Genomic DNA, 20226 nt, shown 5'->3' with positions numbered 1-20226 from the left:
ATATTTACATAACTTTTATTTTAGAAAAAAATCTTGTAACCAAATGAGAAGCCTTAAAGAAGCTGAATTCACTGGCTTAGCAATTACAACCACAATCACTGGAGGAGCATGGCTGGCCGGCTGGAACGTACCTGGATGACACCCTCCATCATGCTCACCATCTTGTTGACGACTGCAATGACTTTATGTGTGCGCTCTGTAGGGCTGATGTCAGGTCTGTACTGGTTGGACAATACATACCGGCATGCCATATATAATACATATGTAGGGGACAACTTAAAGTGGACTGTAGAGCTATTAGTATAATTTATAATGGCAGACAAAAATGAATCTTCAGCTGTGGAAAGATTTCAAAAACAAAGAAAAAAGGAAAAAAGAATAAAAACGAATGTGAAAATCAGATGGAGTAAAATGGATCAAGAAATAATTCATTGACAATGAAATCTGAAATTACTCACAACTTTCCCTGAATTCAATGCTTGCAGGTAGTATCAGCTCAGGCCCAGAAGCATCCTGTGTTCTAAAAGAAGAAAGCTGACATCACTTAAAATAAGGTCACATGGCTAACAATATTACTGACAACCTGTGTAGATTTCTGCAACTACTTTTTAAATCTATATACTAATCTTTCCAACGTAAAATAATAAAATATCCCTTGTTTTCAGATGTAGCCTAATCAAATAATGCATTGGGAGTGATCTTATCACGACTCCTCTAAGAAGGTTAGTTCCTTGAAGTATATGCCGCCGCCATGACAGCAGATCTGACGTGATTCTGGATTATTAATGAACACTTCATGTCTAGTACAGGGATCGGTCTGTCTTGCATCTGCTACAGCTATGGCTCAGGTAACACTGAAAACAAAGTACTAAGTGACACAAAGAAAAACTAACCATGCCAAGCTTGAAACGGAGTTCTTATACTGAAAGGGAAAAGCTTCCTAAGACCTGGACTTTGTCTTTCTCTGCTGACACAGGGTTAGACAAGCTGACCACGGCAAGTCTCCTTCAGCCATTACTATCATCATTTTCCAATGCTTACAGTGACGCATGCCTTATAAAGAGATGTTCTACTCACTCACATTTCTTCTTACGGTCACATAAATTCCAGGTCCCTTCCACCATTTAGCCTGACACTACACAAATAAGGAACTGTCAAAAATTATAAATACAAAGAAACTATAATTTGGAACATTTATAAAAACTAGCATTGTGCTGATGTTTATCTATTTCCAGGTATTCAGATCAAATTAATTCAAAAGTTAGGTTCATTTCTATCTCTATAAAAATATTCTTCAAACAGTGTGTCATCACCCATTGGCAGGGCAGAAGGCTGTTTTGTGAAACTACTCTTTCAGTTGAATACACATTTGTATGTGTGTTCACCAGAGCACAATGTAAGATATAATCTTGTGTTATAACCACAGTTCAAAAGCATTTTGAAAGCCATTGCTAGGCACAGACTCTTTAAATGTGTAAGATAATAAATTACAAATCCAGTTTAGATTTCCTTATCTTTGTGGATTTATGCTTTTCTCAATGAATAATGCTCAGCTTATTCTTTCACTTAGCCATGTGATTAGAACTTCAAGCCATTTACTTATTACTCTAAGTTCGCTACCCACTGTATTTTATATACAATATTTACCAAAAACCAGCGAAACACATAGTCAAGTGATTAGCTTCCTTAACATTTCAATGTCTTTATCATTTTAGTTCAACTTTAACAGAGATAACCAGGAAGAATTCTCAAAAATGTCTCTGAAAAAATAAGAAAATTTAAATTGACAGTAAGAGCCAGGGAACATGTGTTTTGCCTTCCGCAAACTTAATGAAAAATGAAATTGTGGGGATATTAATGACTTAAACTGTGATGAACATCTCTACTGAGTTAAATATTGACTTAAACTGAGACTAATACTTACTCAAATAAATCTTATTTGGTGAAATGGAAAGTCAACACAGTTATCTTGATATTGGAATGAGAAATACTCATTAGTGACTTCAACAACAGTCATTTCAGCAGCAATGTGTCTGTTAATCTTAGACAACTGGTACTGTACGGCCAGAATTAAGTATTTGGAATTGCTGGTCCACTCATTAAATAAGTTAATATAGATAATAAAAAACTTTCCTTCAAAAATAAAAAGGAATAACTTATGATGATTACAGATTTATAATAGTTTACAGACTGGCTAACTAATTTTTTTTTCAACAGCAAACCATTCTCTTCCCTCCATCCTCACCTTCTCCATGCACCAAAAAATGAATAAAGAGAAATGAATATATTTATACAAAATAATAAAAATATAACCAAATATTTTACTAATAATAAATACAACCCAAATCTTCTTTTTATCAAATTATATGTTTCAGAGTTGATTATTTAGTTTATGATCTAATGATTTAACTCAACAATTAAGGAAAAGAAAAATGCCTCTATAAACAATGTAATTTAAATGATCAATTATTTTAACACATCTCCCTTACATTCCCATATTTACAGACAACTAAAATTGTAGCTAGGCAGTTATATATCTCATAAAGTGAACCTGAGTAAACTTTACCAATTATATTTTAACAAATCTGGTAAAAAAGTGTTTACATTGTCATTGATAAAAGAAAAAAAAATTTAGTGACAATTAAAAGTCGTCCCCTCCATTCAAAAGGGTTTTTTCCTTCACTAATATTAGCATTTTAAACACGTTTAAATTTTTCATGACTGCATCAGTTAAATTAAGTAGTGCTTATTATAACACTGCCCATGTGAAAAACAAAGAATGGAGCAGAAAGGCTCATCTGTTCTCATCATTGTAGTAATAGCAACAAAACAACATAGTTTATAATTAAAATAAAGCCTTTAATAACTCTGCAAACTAATCTTACCTTGTAAAATTAAATTATGTGTTTATGGTAAAAAATAATTCCTGACATACAATTAACCATATTACTATTTTGACACTATATTAATCACTAATTTTGCATATATTAAAAGCATTATCCTAATCAATCCACTCCCTCGTGCGAATTCATTTACTCAAATATTTATGAGCTAAGAACTATGATTCATACTTCTCAGTCACACCTTAGAAATACATAGAGGTATTCCTTACAATACCAATTTACCATTCTGAACATCCTACTCCATAATCCACCAACAAAAACAAGTACAAACACGGAAAGTAAACTATTTATTATCACATGTAATAAGATTCACATAGCCAATAAAAATCTTGCATTAGAACCAAAAATCCACAATAAAAATAAAGTTAAAACCTGGGATTCCCTTATGAGTCTACACATGTATAACTGGTGATGAATGATATTAAAATCCTGCAATATCCAGTGCCCTCTGCTGGAAGTTGGGAAACTGAAGAACTGTGTCTTCGTCACCTGCAACTGAACTGATAGGTGACCCTGGGCAAGTCGCCTGCCTCATCTAACTGCCTCACTGACTGGATCTTTGAAGGAAACACAATGGCCTCTTCAAAAATCTATCTGAAAAGCCCCAAAGGGGGAATGCTGCCAGTTTCACTGCTGATAATGAGAATGCCATAGAAGTCATGCAGTCTTTCTGTATTTCTGTCTGAGTTCCCGCAGAGCTCTGGGGTAGAGGTGTTCAGCACCAAATCATGCTGCTGGTTCCACTAGTCAGTATCTGTTATTTATCCACCATGTTTAATGCAAAGATATTACTCTGCAACATTTAAATAATTCTAGAGGTCACAAGGAAATAGGATTCTGATTAAGGTGACACGTTAAAAATCATAAGACAAGGAAATAACAAGACAGTTCTCTGCCCAGAGAAATCGGCAAGAACAATGTCAGAAAAAAAAAAAAATTCATCCTCCATCTATCTCCACAGGGAGACACATCACATTAGAGCACAAGACATAATATGGCATTTATAATTCTTAAAATCTGTTTCAAAATCATTTTTGATCTTACATATTTTTAAACAGATGAAGATTTCTTCTAGAAATGGGTGAAATGACCAGATTTTTCTAAATACAAAAATCATCAAATATTAAAATCCTATAAAAACTCCCTTTCTCTATGTTTTTACAAAGTAGCAAATTTTAAATGGCAACATTTTAATTCAATGTACTCTTATTTCAATCTGATAACACTGTGGCATATAAGTGAGGGATATAATTATTGGTAAAGCATTTCTTTCAATTCAATAACACAGAAAGGAAATGCCCTTAAAATATTATTGCTAACATTGTAAACATGTCAGCTGAACCTTTATAAATTCAACAATCTTTATCCCAACCCTTTTTTAGGAATACTTTCAGTACTTTCACCATTGAAAAATGATGTGTTTCCTACCTGCTTTCTTGCCTGCGATAATCTGGCTGCTGTTCTACTCTGATCATCGGCTTCACCATTCCCCGCTCGGCTGTGCTAGAGGCAGACGACACTCTGTCGCTGTCCAGCCTAGTGGTGCTCTACATGGAGAGAAAGCACAACGGGTTTAGAACCTCACACAGACCAACCAAGCTTGACACTCAGCGTTGCAAGCAGAGATCTGATACAGGGCTGCCAAGCAGGGCAGGCAAGAACACAGACCAGGAAATAACAAAGCAATGCTGGGGACACTATGTCCACGGGGAGTGCCCAAAGCACACTGGTATTAAAGCATAGGAAGACGCACAGCCACTTTCATTCTCAAAGAGCTAGGAGTTGCCTTTAAAACACAGGCAGGCAAAGCTGGTAACACACACATGATGATTTTTCTGAAAGTACATTAATAGTAATTCGATTCCAACAAGTTATTTTAAAATCAGGATAAGACATAAGAAAATATGTACAACATGAAGAGGCAGGGTCTTTTTAAAGTTTATTATTTCTCAGAACAGATTTAGAAATCCTACTCCTTATAGCTCAATACCTAATGAATTCAGTACAGAAACTGGCTTCTTTCTTGCCCTTAATCAACACCGGGGAAAACACATATTATATGGTAACCCAATCAGGTATATTTAAATACTTCTAAAAAGTATACAATTCTAACCATTTGTATGGAATTTGTAGGCAGACAAAAGGATGAGTTACCTACATTAAGAAAATCACCAGAAAAGAAAAAATTTTATACAATGAAATTCACTGTAGAAAAAATTTCATGTAAAATTTCTTATTACATCTGCTTACTACAGAAACTGGGCACAAGTAGTAAATAAAAAATCATGTTTCTCTTATCACCTAGCGATTATTACTGTACTGTACGTCTTTCCAGCTTTTCATATTTTCCATAAATGGGATTTACAATCTTCTTGATAAAAAAACACTTTTTCAGATGTTACAAACATCTTACAATATCACTTATTTTTATATTACAGACTTGTAATGGCTGTATAACATTTTGTTGTCTATTCATCATACTTCATTAAACCAATGCTTTATTACATCATTTAAAATGTTCATCAGTACAGAGTGACAAGACAATTATGCTTGTAAATATATTTATATACACACCCAATGAATCCTTCCATAAGAGTTTTTTGGTTTTTTTTCTTGGGACGGAGTCTCGCTCTGTCACCCAGGCTGGAGTGCAGTGGCGCGATCTCAGCTCACTGCAAGCTCCGCCTCCCAGGTTCACGCCATTCTCCTGCCTTAGCCTCCTGAGTAGGGGGCTACAGGCGCCCGCCACCACGCCCGGCTAATTTTTTGCATTTTTAGCAGAGACAGGGTTTCACCATGTTAGCCAGGATGGTCTCGATCTCCTGACTTCATGATCCACCCACCTCGGCCTCCCAAAGTGTTGGGATTATAGGCGTGAGCCACCACATCCGGCCCATAAGACAGATTTATAGAAACACAATTGCTGGTCAATGGATGGCAATACTATTTACACACTATTAAAAAATTGTTATAAATGACTAGTAATAGGGCAATGGATAAAGAAATTAGAGTATGTTTATATGCTTACATACTACAGAATGGTTTTCATTTGTTTTTAAGTGACTTTAAAGTACTAAAAAATGCTCACAGAGTAACAGCTGAAGAAAGCAAGAAAGGTGTGTGTGGAGACAAATATATCCAATTGTGTTAAAATGCATACATGAACATATAGACCCATACCAGAGTCCAGAAAAGGACCCCTCACAACATTACTATCAAAGGTCAACTATAAATTGTGGATGACGGATTTTCATTTTTACTTTTTTCCTCTATTTACCAAGTCTTCTTTGTGGACTACACATTTTTTTAAGAAACGAAAATTTTTATAAAGACAGTTTTCTTCGGCTCATTCAATTATTCATGAGATGGTTCCCAAGAGTCTTCTACACAGCAGGCATTTTTTAAGAAAAGTGCAATAGAAATACAGCAATGACGTATGAAACAGGAGCCCCACTTGCAGAGTTCACATTCTACAGCTGGTCAACAAACACAGCAGGTATTGGATGGTAATAAAGACCACATAAATAACTTACATCAGGTGCTGTGACAGTGACAGGATGCTCAGGGACAACCTCTTCAGGAATGTGGCTTTAAGCTGAGGTCTGAGACAAGAAGGGGCCAGAGTGTGAAAAGCAAAGACAAAAGCACAAACACTAGCACAAGAAAGGCCTTCCAATGGGAGGAAAGAGGCAGGCACGGGCACAGGATGGAAGCCTCGTGTGGCCTGAGTGAGCAACAGAGACACGCTGAGAGGAAGCAGGCTCAGGGCATAGGGGCTGAGCAAGTCAGGGTGAAGACTGATATATGGGTTGGGAAGCCACCAGGGGCTTCGAAAGCAGAACAGTAACTAGAATCTAATTTACATTTTTTAAATGTGAGGAGAATGATGAGCTGGGTAGAATGGAAGAGGCTGCTCTTGGGGCCGTGTGGTCCTCCTGCCATGTGATGGCTGCAGCCTAAGCCAGAGAGGCAGAGGAACGAACCCCTGCATGCAGAGGCTGAGAGAAGGAAGGGACCAACTGGGAACGGGGAAGAGGTTTCTATTGGAGCAACGCTGCAGATGGTAGTATTGTCTTCTAAGGTGGGGAAGGATCAGGGAAAGTTTGTTAAGAAAGAAAATCTAGTCTTCTTTTAGCTAGATTTAATTTGAAATATGTACAGGATATGCAAGTGGATATGTCAAGTAAACCTTTAGAGATATGAATCGGGGCTGGGTGCAGTGGCTTACACCTGTAATCCTAGCATTTTGGGAAGCCGAGGCAGGCAGACTGCCTGAGCTCAGGAGTTCAAGACCAGCCTGGGCAACATGGCGAAACACGATCTCTACTAAAAAATACAAAAATTAGCCAAGCATGGTGGCAGGTGCCTGTAATCTCCGCTACGCAGGAGGCAGAGGCAGGAGAATGACTTGAACCTGGGAGGCAGTGGTTGCAGTGAGCCGAGATCATGCCACTGCACTCCAAACTGGGAGAGAGAGCAGACTCTGTCTCAGGAAGAAAAAAAAAAAAGAGAGAGAGATATGCGTCTGGAGAGGTCAGAACCAAAGGTACACATTAGTGGATAATTAACATTAGATGGTATTTAAACTCAGGCAACAGGGTAAGCTCACCTAGGAAAGATGCAGGAAGAAAACAGATTGGTGCCCTACATCTGAAACCCTGGCCCTCCAAACTTTAGGAGTGAAGCATAAGAGGAAGAGGTACCAACAAATCAAACCAAGGAGAAACCACTACTAGGTGGTTTATAGGAGGGTAATATACCCTAGAAGCCAACAGAAGAAAGTGCATCAAGTACGTGGTTGTGGCCTGGCTAAAAACTCCTGCAACAAGTAAGACAGGACAAAATGCGTGCCAGATTTGGGACCTGGGAGGTCATCAGTCCCCCTGACAGACAGTCCCTGTGGAGGGAGGGGCAAGAATGAACAGGAGCAGAGGAAAGAACATAGAGTTTGGAAGTGGAGGGAGCAAGCATAGATGATTTTTTTTTCCCCAAGAAGCTGTGTAGCAAACAGGAGTAGAAAAATGGGGTCAAAACTGGAGGGGTATAAAGAGTTTTCTAAAAGAGAAGACACTGTAACGTGTTTTGATGCTGATGAGAACACTCCAGGATCATAGGAGTTTGTGGCACCATGGCATTCAATAAATCACACCTTGAGTAGTGCCTTCCTCCTGAATCTGGACTGGGCCTGTATTTGCTTCAACCAATGAAAGGTGGAGGAAACGGGGTTGTGTCAGTTCTGGGCCTAACATTCAAGAAGGCCTGGAAGCTCCGTGGTTCTTGTGAGGTCCCACAACACTACGACTTCTGGCTGCCCCAATGGGGCTAAAGGTCCCATGGAGAGAATGTGAGACAGCACAGAGAGAGGGTCAGTGGGCCCTGCACTCCAGCCACTGGCTACCAACTGATCTTCTAGGTGAAGGTGGTCACACCAGTCACCACCAGCAAGACCAGCAAACAAACTGCCCAGGTGAGCTCAAACCAGATTGCACAATGGTAAACAAATAAAATGGTTGCTGTTTAGCCACAAAGTTTTGGAGTGGTTTGTTATCCAGTAATAGAGAATGAAAATGAGAAAGGAAATGAACTGATTATTCCAGAGATAAGGGATCATTATGGAAGCAAAGTGTCTGAGAAGTTAACTGATGAATGGGATTTAGTACCTAAACTGAAGGGTTAATAAAAGGAGTGTATTAAGGGTACTCTGACTGAGCAAGGCTAACTACACAGGAGAAAGCCTAGCAAACATGAAGGCTCTGCTTCAACCTGGCCTTAGAGAAAAGAAAGATCTGGTAACTTTCTTTTATGTATCACTAACAAACAACACAGCAGATTAGGACAACCCACATTTGGGGCCACTGGGAAGTCTGTTTTTACAAAGATGTTTTATAAGTGCACCTATTACCAGTTTACTGGAGTCCCCCTTATCTGCAGTTTCTCTTTCTACAGTTCAGCTACCTGTGGTAAGCTGCAGTCCGAAAACAGGTGAGTACAATACAATAAGATATTTTGAGAGAGGAGACAGAGACCAAATTAACATACCTCTTATTTGAGTATATTGTTATAATATATATTGTTCCATTTTATCTTCAGTTATTGTTGTTAATGTCTTAGTGTGCTTATTTTATAAATTAAACTTTATCACAGGTACATATATACAGGAAAACAACATAGTATCCATAGGGCTCTGTACTATTTATGATTTCAGACATTGACTGGTGGTCTTGGAACACATCCCCCACAAATAAGGGGAACACATCCCCCACCACTACTGTATTCATCCATGGTGTCCTATAGCAAGCACACTTCTATCAGGTAATCCATAATTACCTACCTTGCTTGTCGGTAATGCTGTCCCACTATGAATATCTCCTCCCAAATCAAAAGTTGTCTCCTGAACAATTCTGATGGGATAAAACAAGAAACACACTGACTTAATAACATTCCAATGACAGGCATAGTCTCTTCTTAATACACAAGGAAGAACTAAAATACCAAATGTCAAAGATTTTTAAGAAATTGCTCTGTTTTCAGCACACGAACTTACAGAATTAAAAAACCACCTTATGAACTTTCTTTACTGGTATATACTCAATATTCCCAGTATCTTTTTTTTTTTTTTTTTTTTGAGATGAAGTCTCACTCTGTTGCCCAGGCTGGAGTACAGTAGCACAATTTCGGCTCACTGCAACCTCTGCCTCCTCAGTTCAAGTGATACTCCTGCCTCAGCCTCCCAAATAACTGGTATTACAGACAAGGGCCACCATGCCCGGCTAATTATTGTATTTTTTGTAGAGATGGGGTTTCACCATGTTGGCCAGGCTGGTCTCGAACTCCTGACCTCAGGTGATCCGCCCACCTCAGCCTCCCAAAGTGCTGGGGATTACAGGCATGAGCCACCACGCCCGGCCCGATCATATTTTTTTTTTTAACTATACAAGAAACGGAACATAAAAAACCAGGTTATTTCATTATGTAAGTCTATCCAGGCAGCAAATGGCATATAAATGAGGTGTACAAGGTTGAAGTGCCGGCGGCCCTATTTATGGACACAGGGAAAGTGACACATGAGGAACAGCGGTGAGCTTCTCTCCTATTTGAAAGTCAATCTGATTATTTTTGTAAAGCACATGAGTATCACTACTTAGGCTACAAATTAAAAAGTGGGACATTTTTGATAATGTTAGCATGCAAATCAAAAATTATCCTAGTTTAAACTGATTCTTCAAATATCTCAAAATATCAAAATTTCTAAATATGTCACTTTGAAAACCTAACTCATAAGCAAAATCTCATTATGAAGATTGAAGAGTCTAACAAGCTGGGACCGACTACATTCTTCAGCACAAATGAAGGGTGAATGCAACTCACTGGTCCCAGCTCATTGGAGAGTGCCCTCCCCACCTCCACAAAAAAAAGCCCTAAAAACACCTGGAAACCAACAAGGATGAATTAGTATTTAAATTTCCTGGATTTCTGCAAAACATAATTTAAAAAGAATGAAATGTCCCGTTATAATACTTGAAAAATATTAATATATGGTCTAATTTCAAAGCAGCATGGTAATGGGAAACTTTTATTTACACTCAACCAATAGAAAGAAACAAGGAAGTAATGTAAAAGTTGAAAACAACTTTTCAGATTAGAAGAGCAGGTACAAATTTCTCCTCTATCTCACCACTAAGAAAATAAAACCATTTTGTAATGCAAAATAATACCATGCTTTAAAATAGTAACTTTTGAAAGAGTAAAAGTTTTTACTAAAGGCCAAATAATTGTCAATTTTCTGCACACAACTTTCTGCAATATATTACCAATATTCTGAAATTAAATACTCATAATCTATCACCAAGATATTCACAAAAACATGGAAATGCCCTGCTGGCTCCCATCAGTTTGAGTGGGAGATTCAGTCCAGCTATCGGCTCTGACAACAGGAGTAACAATGACAGCAGGCCAGCTTCTCTGCCACCTACCAAAGCTGCACACAGCAGTGTCCACCCCTAACTTCCTCTTGTGGGTAGTATGTGAGTAGAATCAAAGCCTTCTTGATTCCACTTACAATTATCATCCTAGAACAACAAATTTCCACCATGCAAAATTCTTTAACTTTTCCCACCAAAGCTACCTCTTTCAAGTTTTAACATGGCTCATTTTTACTGCAGGCTGGATATGTGGACAAGACCAACCAAAGTGACTTTATAATATGACTTTGAAATTATCAAACTATGGCCTTTGACTGTAACAATCATGGGTCGCTCCTCCCAGCATTCAGAGAATAGTAGCTCATGCCCTGGGTACTTGATAATTGTAAACTAGATTAACAAATCAGTTAATGAGTCAGTGTATCACCGGGAGGCCCTAAAATTCCCAAACTATCAATATCAAACTTTGCCACTCGTTTATAACCATCAGTAGGATTTGAAGACACACTATGAAATCTGCATTGGAGGGTATGTGAGTTATCTAGCCAGAATCTGTCACAATCGTTTGACACTAGAGCAAAATTAATGTTCCTAAAAAAACAAGAGTCCTTTCTAATTTATGGATGGTATGTTCAGCCGCCAAGCAGCTTTTACCAGATTTGCCAGAAAAATACCTAACAATAGTAACAAAATTTCACAGCACATTCTCCTCATTGAAACCTAAGCCATGTTCTTCAATGATCTCTGCTGCTGGCCAGAAATATGGTAGGAAGAGACATCTGCAGGCTTCCAAAGCAGGATCCACATGGCAAAAATACAGTAGGAGATTGTCTCACACATATAAAAACATTACAAGCAAAACCGAAGGGCAGACTAGGTGTGGGACACAGGCTGCTACTAGAATTGTGTTTATACAGAGAACAGAGATGGACAGTAACACTAGGAGTAACACATGTCACAAGAAATATATTACAACTCAAGAATAAAGGGCATTTGTATATAAGGGCAATAACTACAGGTACTATTGAGAGACCACATGTAACACACAGCGGAAGAAACTGTTTCAGACAATACATAATCTCTTTGGACAAACCTCAGTGAGCCTAAAAAATAAACAGGGAGTCAGGATATACCAGATCAAGATTTTTGATGCTGAAGGGAAGAAACAGGGCTGAAGAAAAGCTGATGATTGAAATGAACATCTAAGCATGAAATCATGACTCGCTACTGAAGGGAAGAGCCCATGTAAAGCTAATGACAAGGGACAGGAAATAGGGACACGGCTGATCAATGAAAAACATCACCTTCAGAAAGAAACAGTTAAAAGCTGTGAAGAATGGAAGGATGGTGTTTAAATACACTAGTTTAAAGATGAAAGTGTTAGAAAGAAATGGATTTTCTTGGGAAGCAGGGAGGAAAAGCACATGCTGGTTTCCTTGGATGCCACAGGTATGGTCATTTGCTGACACTTGGGGTGCAAGGTGAGGTGAGCAGCTGGGGATGGATCTTAAACAGCTGTGAACTTTACAAATAAATATATGTGATAACCCACCAAGTATTCATCTTGGAGAAAGACATTAATTCTAAATAGTCATATGTGGCCCAATGTGTAAGGTCTGGGTGGCTAATCAAAGGCATGCCGTAGAACAAAACAATGGGAAAGGCCAAGCAGGGAAGACCACGCGGGTTCATGTCTGTGCTTCAGGAAGAAAGCCTACAATCTAGGGGAGTTTTCAGTTGTTTTAAGCAGCATGAAAAATAGACAATGAAGTGGCTTAACAGGATGTTTTAAAAAGTAAAACCAAAGGAGAAGTCATATTCCCTACCTACAAAAAAATTTTACTAGATAGTCATTAAGAAAGGCTTTCTGTTTTCCCTTACTAAGCCCACAATGCAAGTCTTCAGAAAAGCACTAGGTGGAGCTAAAATATTCTGAATTCCTTAAGAGATCTTAATGTGTTTCATTATCAGTCACAGAAAAGAATACTTCAAAAAATTTTATAATCTTAGTTACACTGAATAATTACAAAGAACACCATGTTTTTTTCACAAAAGAAAAGGTACTGTTTTAGTATACTGGCTAAAAAACAAAGTTTAAATATAAACAATTTAAAACCAGTGAGAAATTCCAATTTTAAGACAAAGTCAAGACCTTTCTTCTTTCCTCTAAAACCAACCCAAGTTAACAATAGGAACCAAAATCACAAACTTCACTTTGATATTTTTTTAAAAATTGAAACAAAAATAAAAAGCCAAGATATCTATGAATAATCTGAACTACTTTAAGTATAATCAAAACATTTTAAATCTTAGGGTTAATCTATTTACCCAGGTTTATGTCTTGGGCCCTTAACCATCAGGCCTCCATCCACAGATCTTTTTGCAAGAGCATGATCCTGACTGGGGTCCACAAACTTAAATACATGGGACGCCCCAAACTGCACTTTCATGCCACTCTGCAGCATGGTGGTTTCTGAGATGCGCTGGCCTTCCACGTAGGTTTCTGCGTCCATACTTCTGGGCGTCACAGTGACCACTCCATCCATGTTGGTAAGGTCACAGTGATGGGGCTGAATTCCTGGGCCAAACAACTGGAAACCGAAGGAAACCAAAGAAACTCCCATCATGAAGTTCACAGCATTTAAACACAGAATGTTAAAACCGTGAGTACCCCTTTTATGACAAATATAACCTAATAAGCTCTGGATTTTTAGTGCCTTTTAAAGTGGATTTCCCTCAATCGTATAAAAATAATTAAACTGTCAAAAAAAAGTCAAACCAATCAGACCTTTTATTTTTAGTACCCAGTGACTTAAGGCATACTGTAACTTTGCATTAAAAAGCATACAGTTGGCCAGGCGCGGTGGCTCACGCCTGTAATCCCAGCACTTTGGGAGGCCGAGATGGGCGGATCATGAGGTCAGGAGATCGAGACTATCCTGGCCAACATGGTGAAACTCCGTCTCTACGAAAAATACAAAAATTAGCAGGCGTGGTGGCGCGTGCCTGTAACCCCAGCTACTCAGGAGGCTGAGGCAGGAGAATTGCTTGAACCAGGGAGTTGGAGGTTACAGAGAGCCGAGATCGTGCCACAGCACTCCAGCCTGCTGACAGAGTAAGACTGTCTCAAAAAAAAAAAAAAAAAAAAAAAAAGGCATACAGTCATCTTAACCAATATTTGTTAGATGGTTAATGGACAAATCTAAACAGATCATTAGCATTAAAGATTCCTATTATTATTTTTAGTGTTGTGCTAAGAAAGAAGAAATGGTAGAATTGAAAATGATATTAACAATCTGAACCCATCATCTTACAAATTGAGAACTAAGTACAGAGCAAGGGTGATTCGCCTGAATTCAACTTCAAAGAAGTGACAAATTCTGACTTCATTTATTCAAATAATGTGTTAAGCTCTGTTTTAAGTACTTGAGAACCATATTAAGCTAAATTTAATTAGAATTTACCGAATGCCTAATGCTATGTGGTCAGACCTCCAGTGATAAGCACTTCTGCATAGGTTATATCCTGTAATCCTGAAATAGACCTATAAAAGTATCATCACCATCTTTTAGAGAAAAGGAAGCAGTTTCAGAGCAATGTCATCACCAGCCCAAATTTCTAGAGGTGGAACTTGAACATAAACTCACATTCTGCTGTTTCCACACTAAAGCAGAGAAAAGTGACCCAGAGTAGATAAATTATTTATATTTAAATACAAGTCGGTAATTATAATTCCTTCTTTCATTACCATGTGGCAGGCTCTGTACAATACGTTATGCCTCCTGGAATGTCAGAGTTGCAGCAGGAAGCTCAGACTACGTACCTGGATAGAGTTGTCATCCAACTTTTCTGTCCCAACTTCAGTAACACTTAACTGAAGGCGGTAAAGCTTTGGCTTATCTCTAGAGTCAGAACCATCTGTGAGAAGAGAAGGAAGACAGCTCTATTTGCAAAGTCTAATATTACTGTCATGTTATTTCCAACAAACAAAAGGTTATCTCAGGCACTACAGTTCTCATTTCTCAGGATTTCTTTTCAAAAAATTCTCCAAACTTATGTAACACAATTTAACAAACTGGATACAGAAAATTCAAAATAAGAAATAAACGTATCAGTTTCTGATTAACACAAAGTGCTAACACTAGCATTAATTCCACCACATTCTTATTACATTGAAAAAGGCTTCTCTACCGCACTGCCCTGGACGTTTGTTAATGATTCTGAGGAGCAACTGTAGTAGCAATATGAAGCTCATCAAAGACACACAGGCCTTCCCTTCGGACCAGATCTTTCCTGCAGTATTCTTGCTGCCCTTATGGCACACAACACAATACAGGTTGAGGGCACAGCTAAATCACTGACGGAGGTTTTTAAATGTGCAGTTCTCATAGCGCTCCCCAGACCTGGATGAAAATCCTTGGGGATGAGGCCTAAGCATGTGTCCTCTGAAAAATCACCCCAAGTAATTCTGCTGTCCATTACTGATCAAGAATTACTGTTAAAAGTGGTTAGCTCCCTGGAGTAGAACTGGAGTAAAAGGAAGACTGGGTTTTTTGGCTTTTTTTTTTTTGTCATTTTATACCTTTATGAACTGTTGGAATGTTTAATTTATATGAGCATGTGTTTCCATGACAGGGAAGGGGTGAGGAGGAGGAGGAAGCTGCTCTGCCGAAGCCCTCTAGTCCCAATACACCTAGACATGTTTTCTCACTCTTCACCTACTGTATCCCAGATGAGGACAATGTCACTTCATTACCTTAACTAAAAATGAGGTATTCTGATTTCAGAGTTGACATATGAGAAAATGTGCCTTCCAGAACCCATGAATGATGATGTAACTGCAGAGCTTAGCACCTGCACCATAGCCATGGCAGTCAGTCTAGTGTGGCAAGCACACCACCCACCAAAGCTTAGGAAAAGGCCAAACCAGTAAGAGTCGCCAAGATCTGCTTTATGAGTGCCTTATAACTTTCAAACCCGCTGATTCCATTACCTGTTAAAATCTCTAGTCACTGCAATTAGGAACGTAAGCTTTGAGAGTTTCACACGTTAAACAGTTTGGAGTATGAGCGTGCACAGAGTTTGAGACTGCTAAAATCTCTCAGCAGTGGTACCGCTAAACTCTCACAGACAAAAGACACCATAAAAATGCAAGTCCTGTTAGAACTGATGTTAATTTTAGGGTACACAAAGTTACATTCTAATGACAAAATTTTCTATTTCTGAAATACTTCAGAAATCTGTGACATCGAGTAAAGGTAAGATGAGACTGAAGTACCTGAGAGACACTAATGCCTAACACCCATTAAGAAATTGTTCATCATCTGTGCTGCTTCACATCGTGTTGAAACATTTATTTTCAACTCTAACTGCTCTAAAGTCCTGATCTGAACAAGACATCAAAATCATCTGGGGCTTTTCCTGGACATAGGTAGCTCCCTTCTAGACCTGCTGAGTCCAAATCCTCCAGTAATGTTTACTATTTTGTGTGTTTTAACCACCAAAGGCAGTTCTAATGAACCCCCCTAGTTAAGAAATGTGTCCCCCTTATCTACTCCCAGAGCACCCCATCTGTTACATTAATTGTACCACTAACCGTATCGTATGATGATTTCCATCTACTTATCTCCCTCATCTCTGAGCTCCCTGGTGGCTAGGTTTACAAAAAAAAAAAAATTTTTACCCTGGCACTGATCACTCCACATACGGTCCATAGTTAGCAATCAATAAAGACTTGATGTGTCAGCAGTGAATACTTATATAAAAATAAAGAAAACTGAATGCAATATAGTCACAGAGAAATGACACAAATAAATTATAAAGAAAGCAAAAGCAGTAAATAAGTAATCATGTGTGAAACAAGAACATTTCAACGCAAAGTTAAAAACAGAACATGAAAAATGTGTTTAGAGATGAAAGAAAAATTCACATTCATATTCTTCCGAATTCTGAATGCTTCTGAAAGGTCTCTTATGAGACAATAAAGAGCTATCACACACCTTTCTACATCAACAGATTTCAAAACAGAGAAAGGGAGAGACAGAAGCTGCTTTCTCAGTCTCTCCCTTCTCCTCACCTCACCATGGTAATAGAAATTTGTCAACAGATAGAGAGATAAACATCCTTCCCAGGCTCTCTTATTACTTCACAGTAATAATAGGAAACCATAGTTAAAGCTGTTACAGATTTTGAAGAACCTAAATGGTGGCCACAGGATTCAGTGGATAAAGGGATGTTTGGTTTGAGCTGGGGAGGAAAGGGAGAGTGCAGTAGTCCATTCCCTCTCCAAATTAGAAGGACAGTTATCTCACAGGGAGTAACATATAAAACCGTTGCCAAAAACAAAAATCCCAAATTTTCTCCCCTTCCTCAACAAGTATTCTACAAATAGTCAATTTCTGCCCAAAGTGCCTGAGTCTCTTTCTTCCCCGTAGATAATGACAATAAATCTGGAGCACCTTGAAGAGCAGAGACAAATCTAAGTAACCCCACAACAGACAGTAACGGCACTGCTACCAGAAAGTTTTCCTATTCTACAGATGAAGGGAGGCAGACTGGCTGAGCACCGCCCAACGAGTGCTTTGAAACAGCACTCTGTCTTTACTCCCCAGCATCCCTCCACAGCCACTGCTGCTTTTGCCTTCAGTTCCTTCCCAGGGTGAACCTGGGAAAATAAAGACACAAAACAAGCTTCCAGTAAATGAAATGAGTTCTAGATATGGAAACTTACTAGGTACAAATAAAATGACAGTACATTAAATTTCTTAAAATAGGTTATTTATATCAACTAAAAAACTGATACATAAGATATTTGGTCATTCAACACTATTCTGCCCATGAGGTTCTATTAGTGCTTTAGTTATAAAAGTAGTAGTAAGCATAGCATTACCTTCGTAAGTGTGATAGTTGTAGTAGGCAAAGTGATTCCTTCTCCCTGGGGTTAAGACACATGCCAGGACCCAGGTGAAGGCAGCATCAGCAGGAGAGAGACCATGCAGAACACGCGGAATAGGGAAGGAGGAGAAGAGACGCAGAGGGTGAACTTCAGTGAGACACGTTTCAAAGGAAGAAAAGGTACACTTCACCCATCAGCTTTTGTGAGGACAAGACTATACTAGTGCCCCAGTCAGTGTTTTAGAAACCAATGCAGACTGTTAAGGGAAACCACAGGACAACAGGTGAGTCACCAAGCAGCAGGACAGCAACAGTGAGTTAATCATACAGAGGGCTACCACCCCACTGGGCTGATTTCTTCTGTTTAAAGAACACATTCAAATCCAAAGCAAAGAACGAAATAATGTATTTCTCCCCATTTCTCCAAAAGACAATGCTGAGCTCATGACCACATCTCAAAAAAACTCCTAACCACACCCAGCAGAACCTCAGCATTGAGTATATAATGCTTGGCTGACAATGTGCCCAGGGGAAATACAGTACTTATCCATTCATAACAAATCATTATGTATGAATATTATTTTCTCATAAATGGAAAATAGATCAATTTCATTCAGCATGCTGACTGTGAGCAATGCATAATAATGAAAACCTAAAACGACATCATGACTTAGTGAAAGAACATGGCTTTGGTGCAGGGAAGACCCTGGCCTTGCATTCAGGCCTGCCACCAACCCTTAGGTCACCCTTAAAATAGTGGCACCAGACCTGAACTTCAGACATTTGTGGAACAAGTTAAGCTATCCCACAGGCACAGGGCTCAGGAGAAGTCGGGACTAGAGGCAGAGTCACTTGTCACATGGCACTGTGATTCCCTCCCACTGTGTGAATTACCTGAAGGCGGGAAGGAACTTAATCCTTTTGTATCCATTGTTTTGCCTAAAGTAGAAGGGTCAGTGAATGCTGACTGAAGGCAGCAGAGTGCCATGAGGGATGCAGTGTATTAATAACCATGTAACAAATGCTGTTGCCAATATTTGGTGAAAAGTAGTACAGAACTGTGATCTACTCCACACCTACAAAAAAAAATTCTATGTATTTGATTACCTGAGAGACTATAAGTATGAAAGAAGCAGTCGAAATAACAATTCTCACTAGAAGAGAAATCCCCAAGGTGAAGGGGTTTAATCTGTTTTGGTGCTCTACCTCCAAGGCCCAGAACACGGTATGACACACAAGTATTCAATCAATATTTATCAAATGCATGCGTGAATGAATGAATCCTCATCCTGTCTCTGCTATCTACCAAAATAAACTGTCCATTACTCATCTGAAAATTATTCTGTCAGCTGCTATTTATTAATTTCTCTCAGAACTCAACACTCTTAGATCCTCAAAAATTTGGATTTGGAGAAAACAATCATTAGTTTCTAGAATTTAATATAAAATTTTAAAGGGCAGACCCAATACCCAAAAAAGAGCCTAAAAAATTTTAAGTTCAAAAACTAATGGCTGCTTCATAGTTGCCATTCATTACCTCAGACAACCAAACATCAATGCTCTCACACACATTATAGACACACAACAATACTGGGATGTGTTTCCAAACTACAGTGAGATAATAAAGCTTCAAGTAAACTTTCCACCCAGAGAACTGAGGTTAGCAACACCAATATATTCCTCACAAATAGCTAATCAATTGATTTTTTTAAAGTCCTGAAGCATAATTAGGTATAAAAGCTACTACCTAAAGCCACACTGCCACTAACTGTGGCATCAAAATGATACCATCACTTCCTGTATTTATATAACCTACGGTACCATGAGACTGCTGGACAACAAATATCGTATGTAATCATTAGTTAATTGCAATAACCTAGCTGTAAGAAACTAAACAAACCTTGCAAATAAAAATAAACTCTCAAAAATCAAAGAAGAAAAAATGTAATTCACATTCATGGAGCCATATATCATACACATAACTGGTTCAATTTTCTGCTAATTTGCTCTGTGATTACTACTCGGGCTTTCTTTTGATGCAGCTTGGGATGGGGGTGCACCACTCTGATCTTCACAGTATTGTATAATGCAGGTCACATAATAGCATTTAATAATGAAATAAGAAATGAAGTAATGTTAACTGAATGATAAATGTCATGTACAGCCATGCACAGCATACATATGTGCAAATATACACTCTACCTAGGAATGTGTGTGTAAAACATTTCCTTAAGAATGCCCACGTATTTCTCTACTCAATGGCTAACCTGAAACGACAGCTTTAGTGTATTAAGAGTTCTACAAAAAAAACACTTAGAGGACTCATGTGAAAATAAATGTAGTCTGTTACTTTAAAATCAAATAGCCTTCCTCTTACTAAGATGGGTTTCTTAGATATAAAATTTAAAGATATTCTTTTTAGACACTGTCCATGCATCAGAAACAACAGCCACACACACACACACACACACACACACACACACACACACACACCCACCCCTTTATGA

The 20226-nt window shown here is 38.4% G+C and overlaps 1 protein-coding gene across 53 annotated transcripts in view, besides 1 other annotated feature; it reads right to left on the bottom strand.

The window, feature by feature from the left end:
* Nucleotides 1–20226, bottom strand: part of AFDN (afadin, adherens junction formation factor) — a 145460-nt gene that overhangs the window by 60403 nt on the left and 64831 nt on the right. For 34 of the 53 annotated variants that reach the window (XM_047418796.1, XM_047418798.1, XM_047418800.1 and 31 more), the window contains exons 9-14: nucleotides 14649–14743; nucleotides 13154–13416; nucleotides 9235–9304; nucleotides 4332–4450; nucleotides 459–520; nucleotides 132–337 (exon numbers count right to left, since the gene is read on the bottom strand). In XM_047418796.1, the coding sequence (XP_047274752.1) occupies nucleotides 132–337; nucleotides 459–520; nucleotides 4332–4450; nucleotides 9235–9304; nucleotides 13154–13416; nucleotides 14649–14743 (815 nt within the window). Of the gene's footprint in view, nucleotides 1–131; nucleotides 338–458; nucleotides 521–4331; nucleotides 4451–9234; nucleotides 9305–13153; nucleotides 13417–14648; nucleotides 14744–17714; nucleotides 17760–20226 lie in introns of all 53 variants that reach the window. The other 19 variants (XM_047418788.1, XM_047418789.1, XM_017010878.2 and 16 more) reach the window with 1 other exon arrangement.
* Nucleotides 17333–18208: an enhancer, noted in NCBI's record as "NANOG-H3K27ac-H3K4me1 hESC enhancer chr6:168294093-168294968 (GRCh37/hg19 assembly coordinates)". NCBI's record gives its function as "activates a minimal SCP1, AML or CMV promoter by ChIP-STARR-seq in primed H9 embryonic stem cells {active_cell/tissue: H9 hESC(primed)}" and the evidence as "EXISTENCE:reporter gene assay evidence [ECO:0000049][PMID:30033119]".

The sequence above is a fragment of the Homo sapiens genome, chromosome 6 (assembly GCF_000001405.40).
Source record: "Homo sapiens chromosome 6, GRCh38.p14 Primary Assembly".
Taxonomy (NCBI): Eukaryota; Metazoa; Chordata; class Mammalia; order Primates; family Hominidae; genus Homo; species Homo sapiens.
This window is presented reverse-complemented; position numbering and strand designations above follow the sequence as displayed.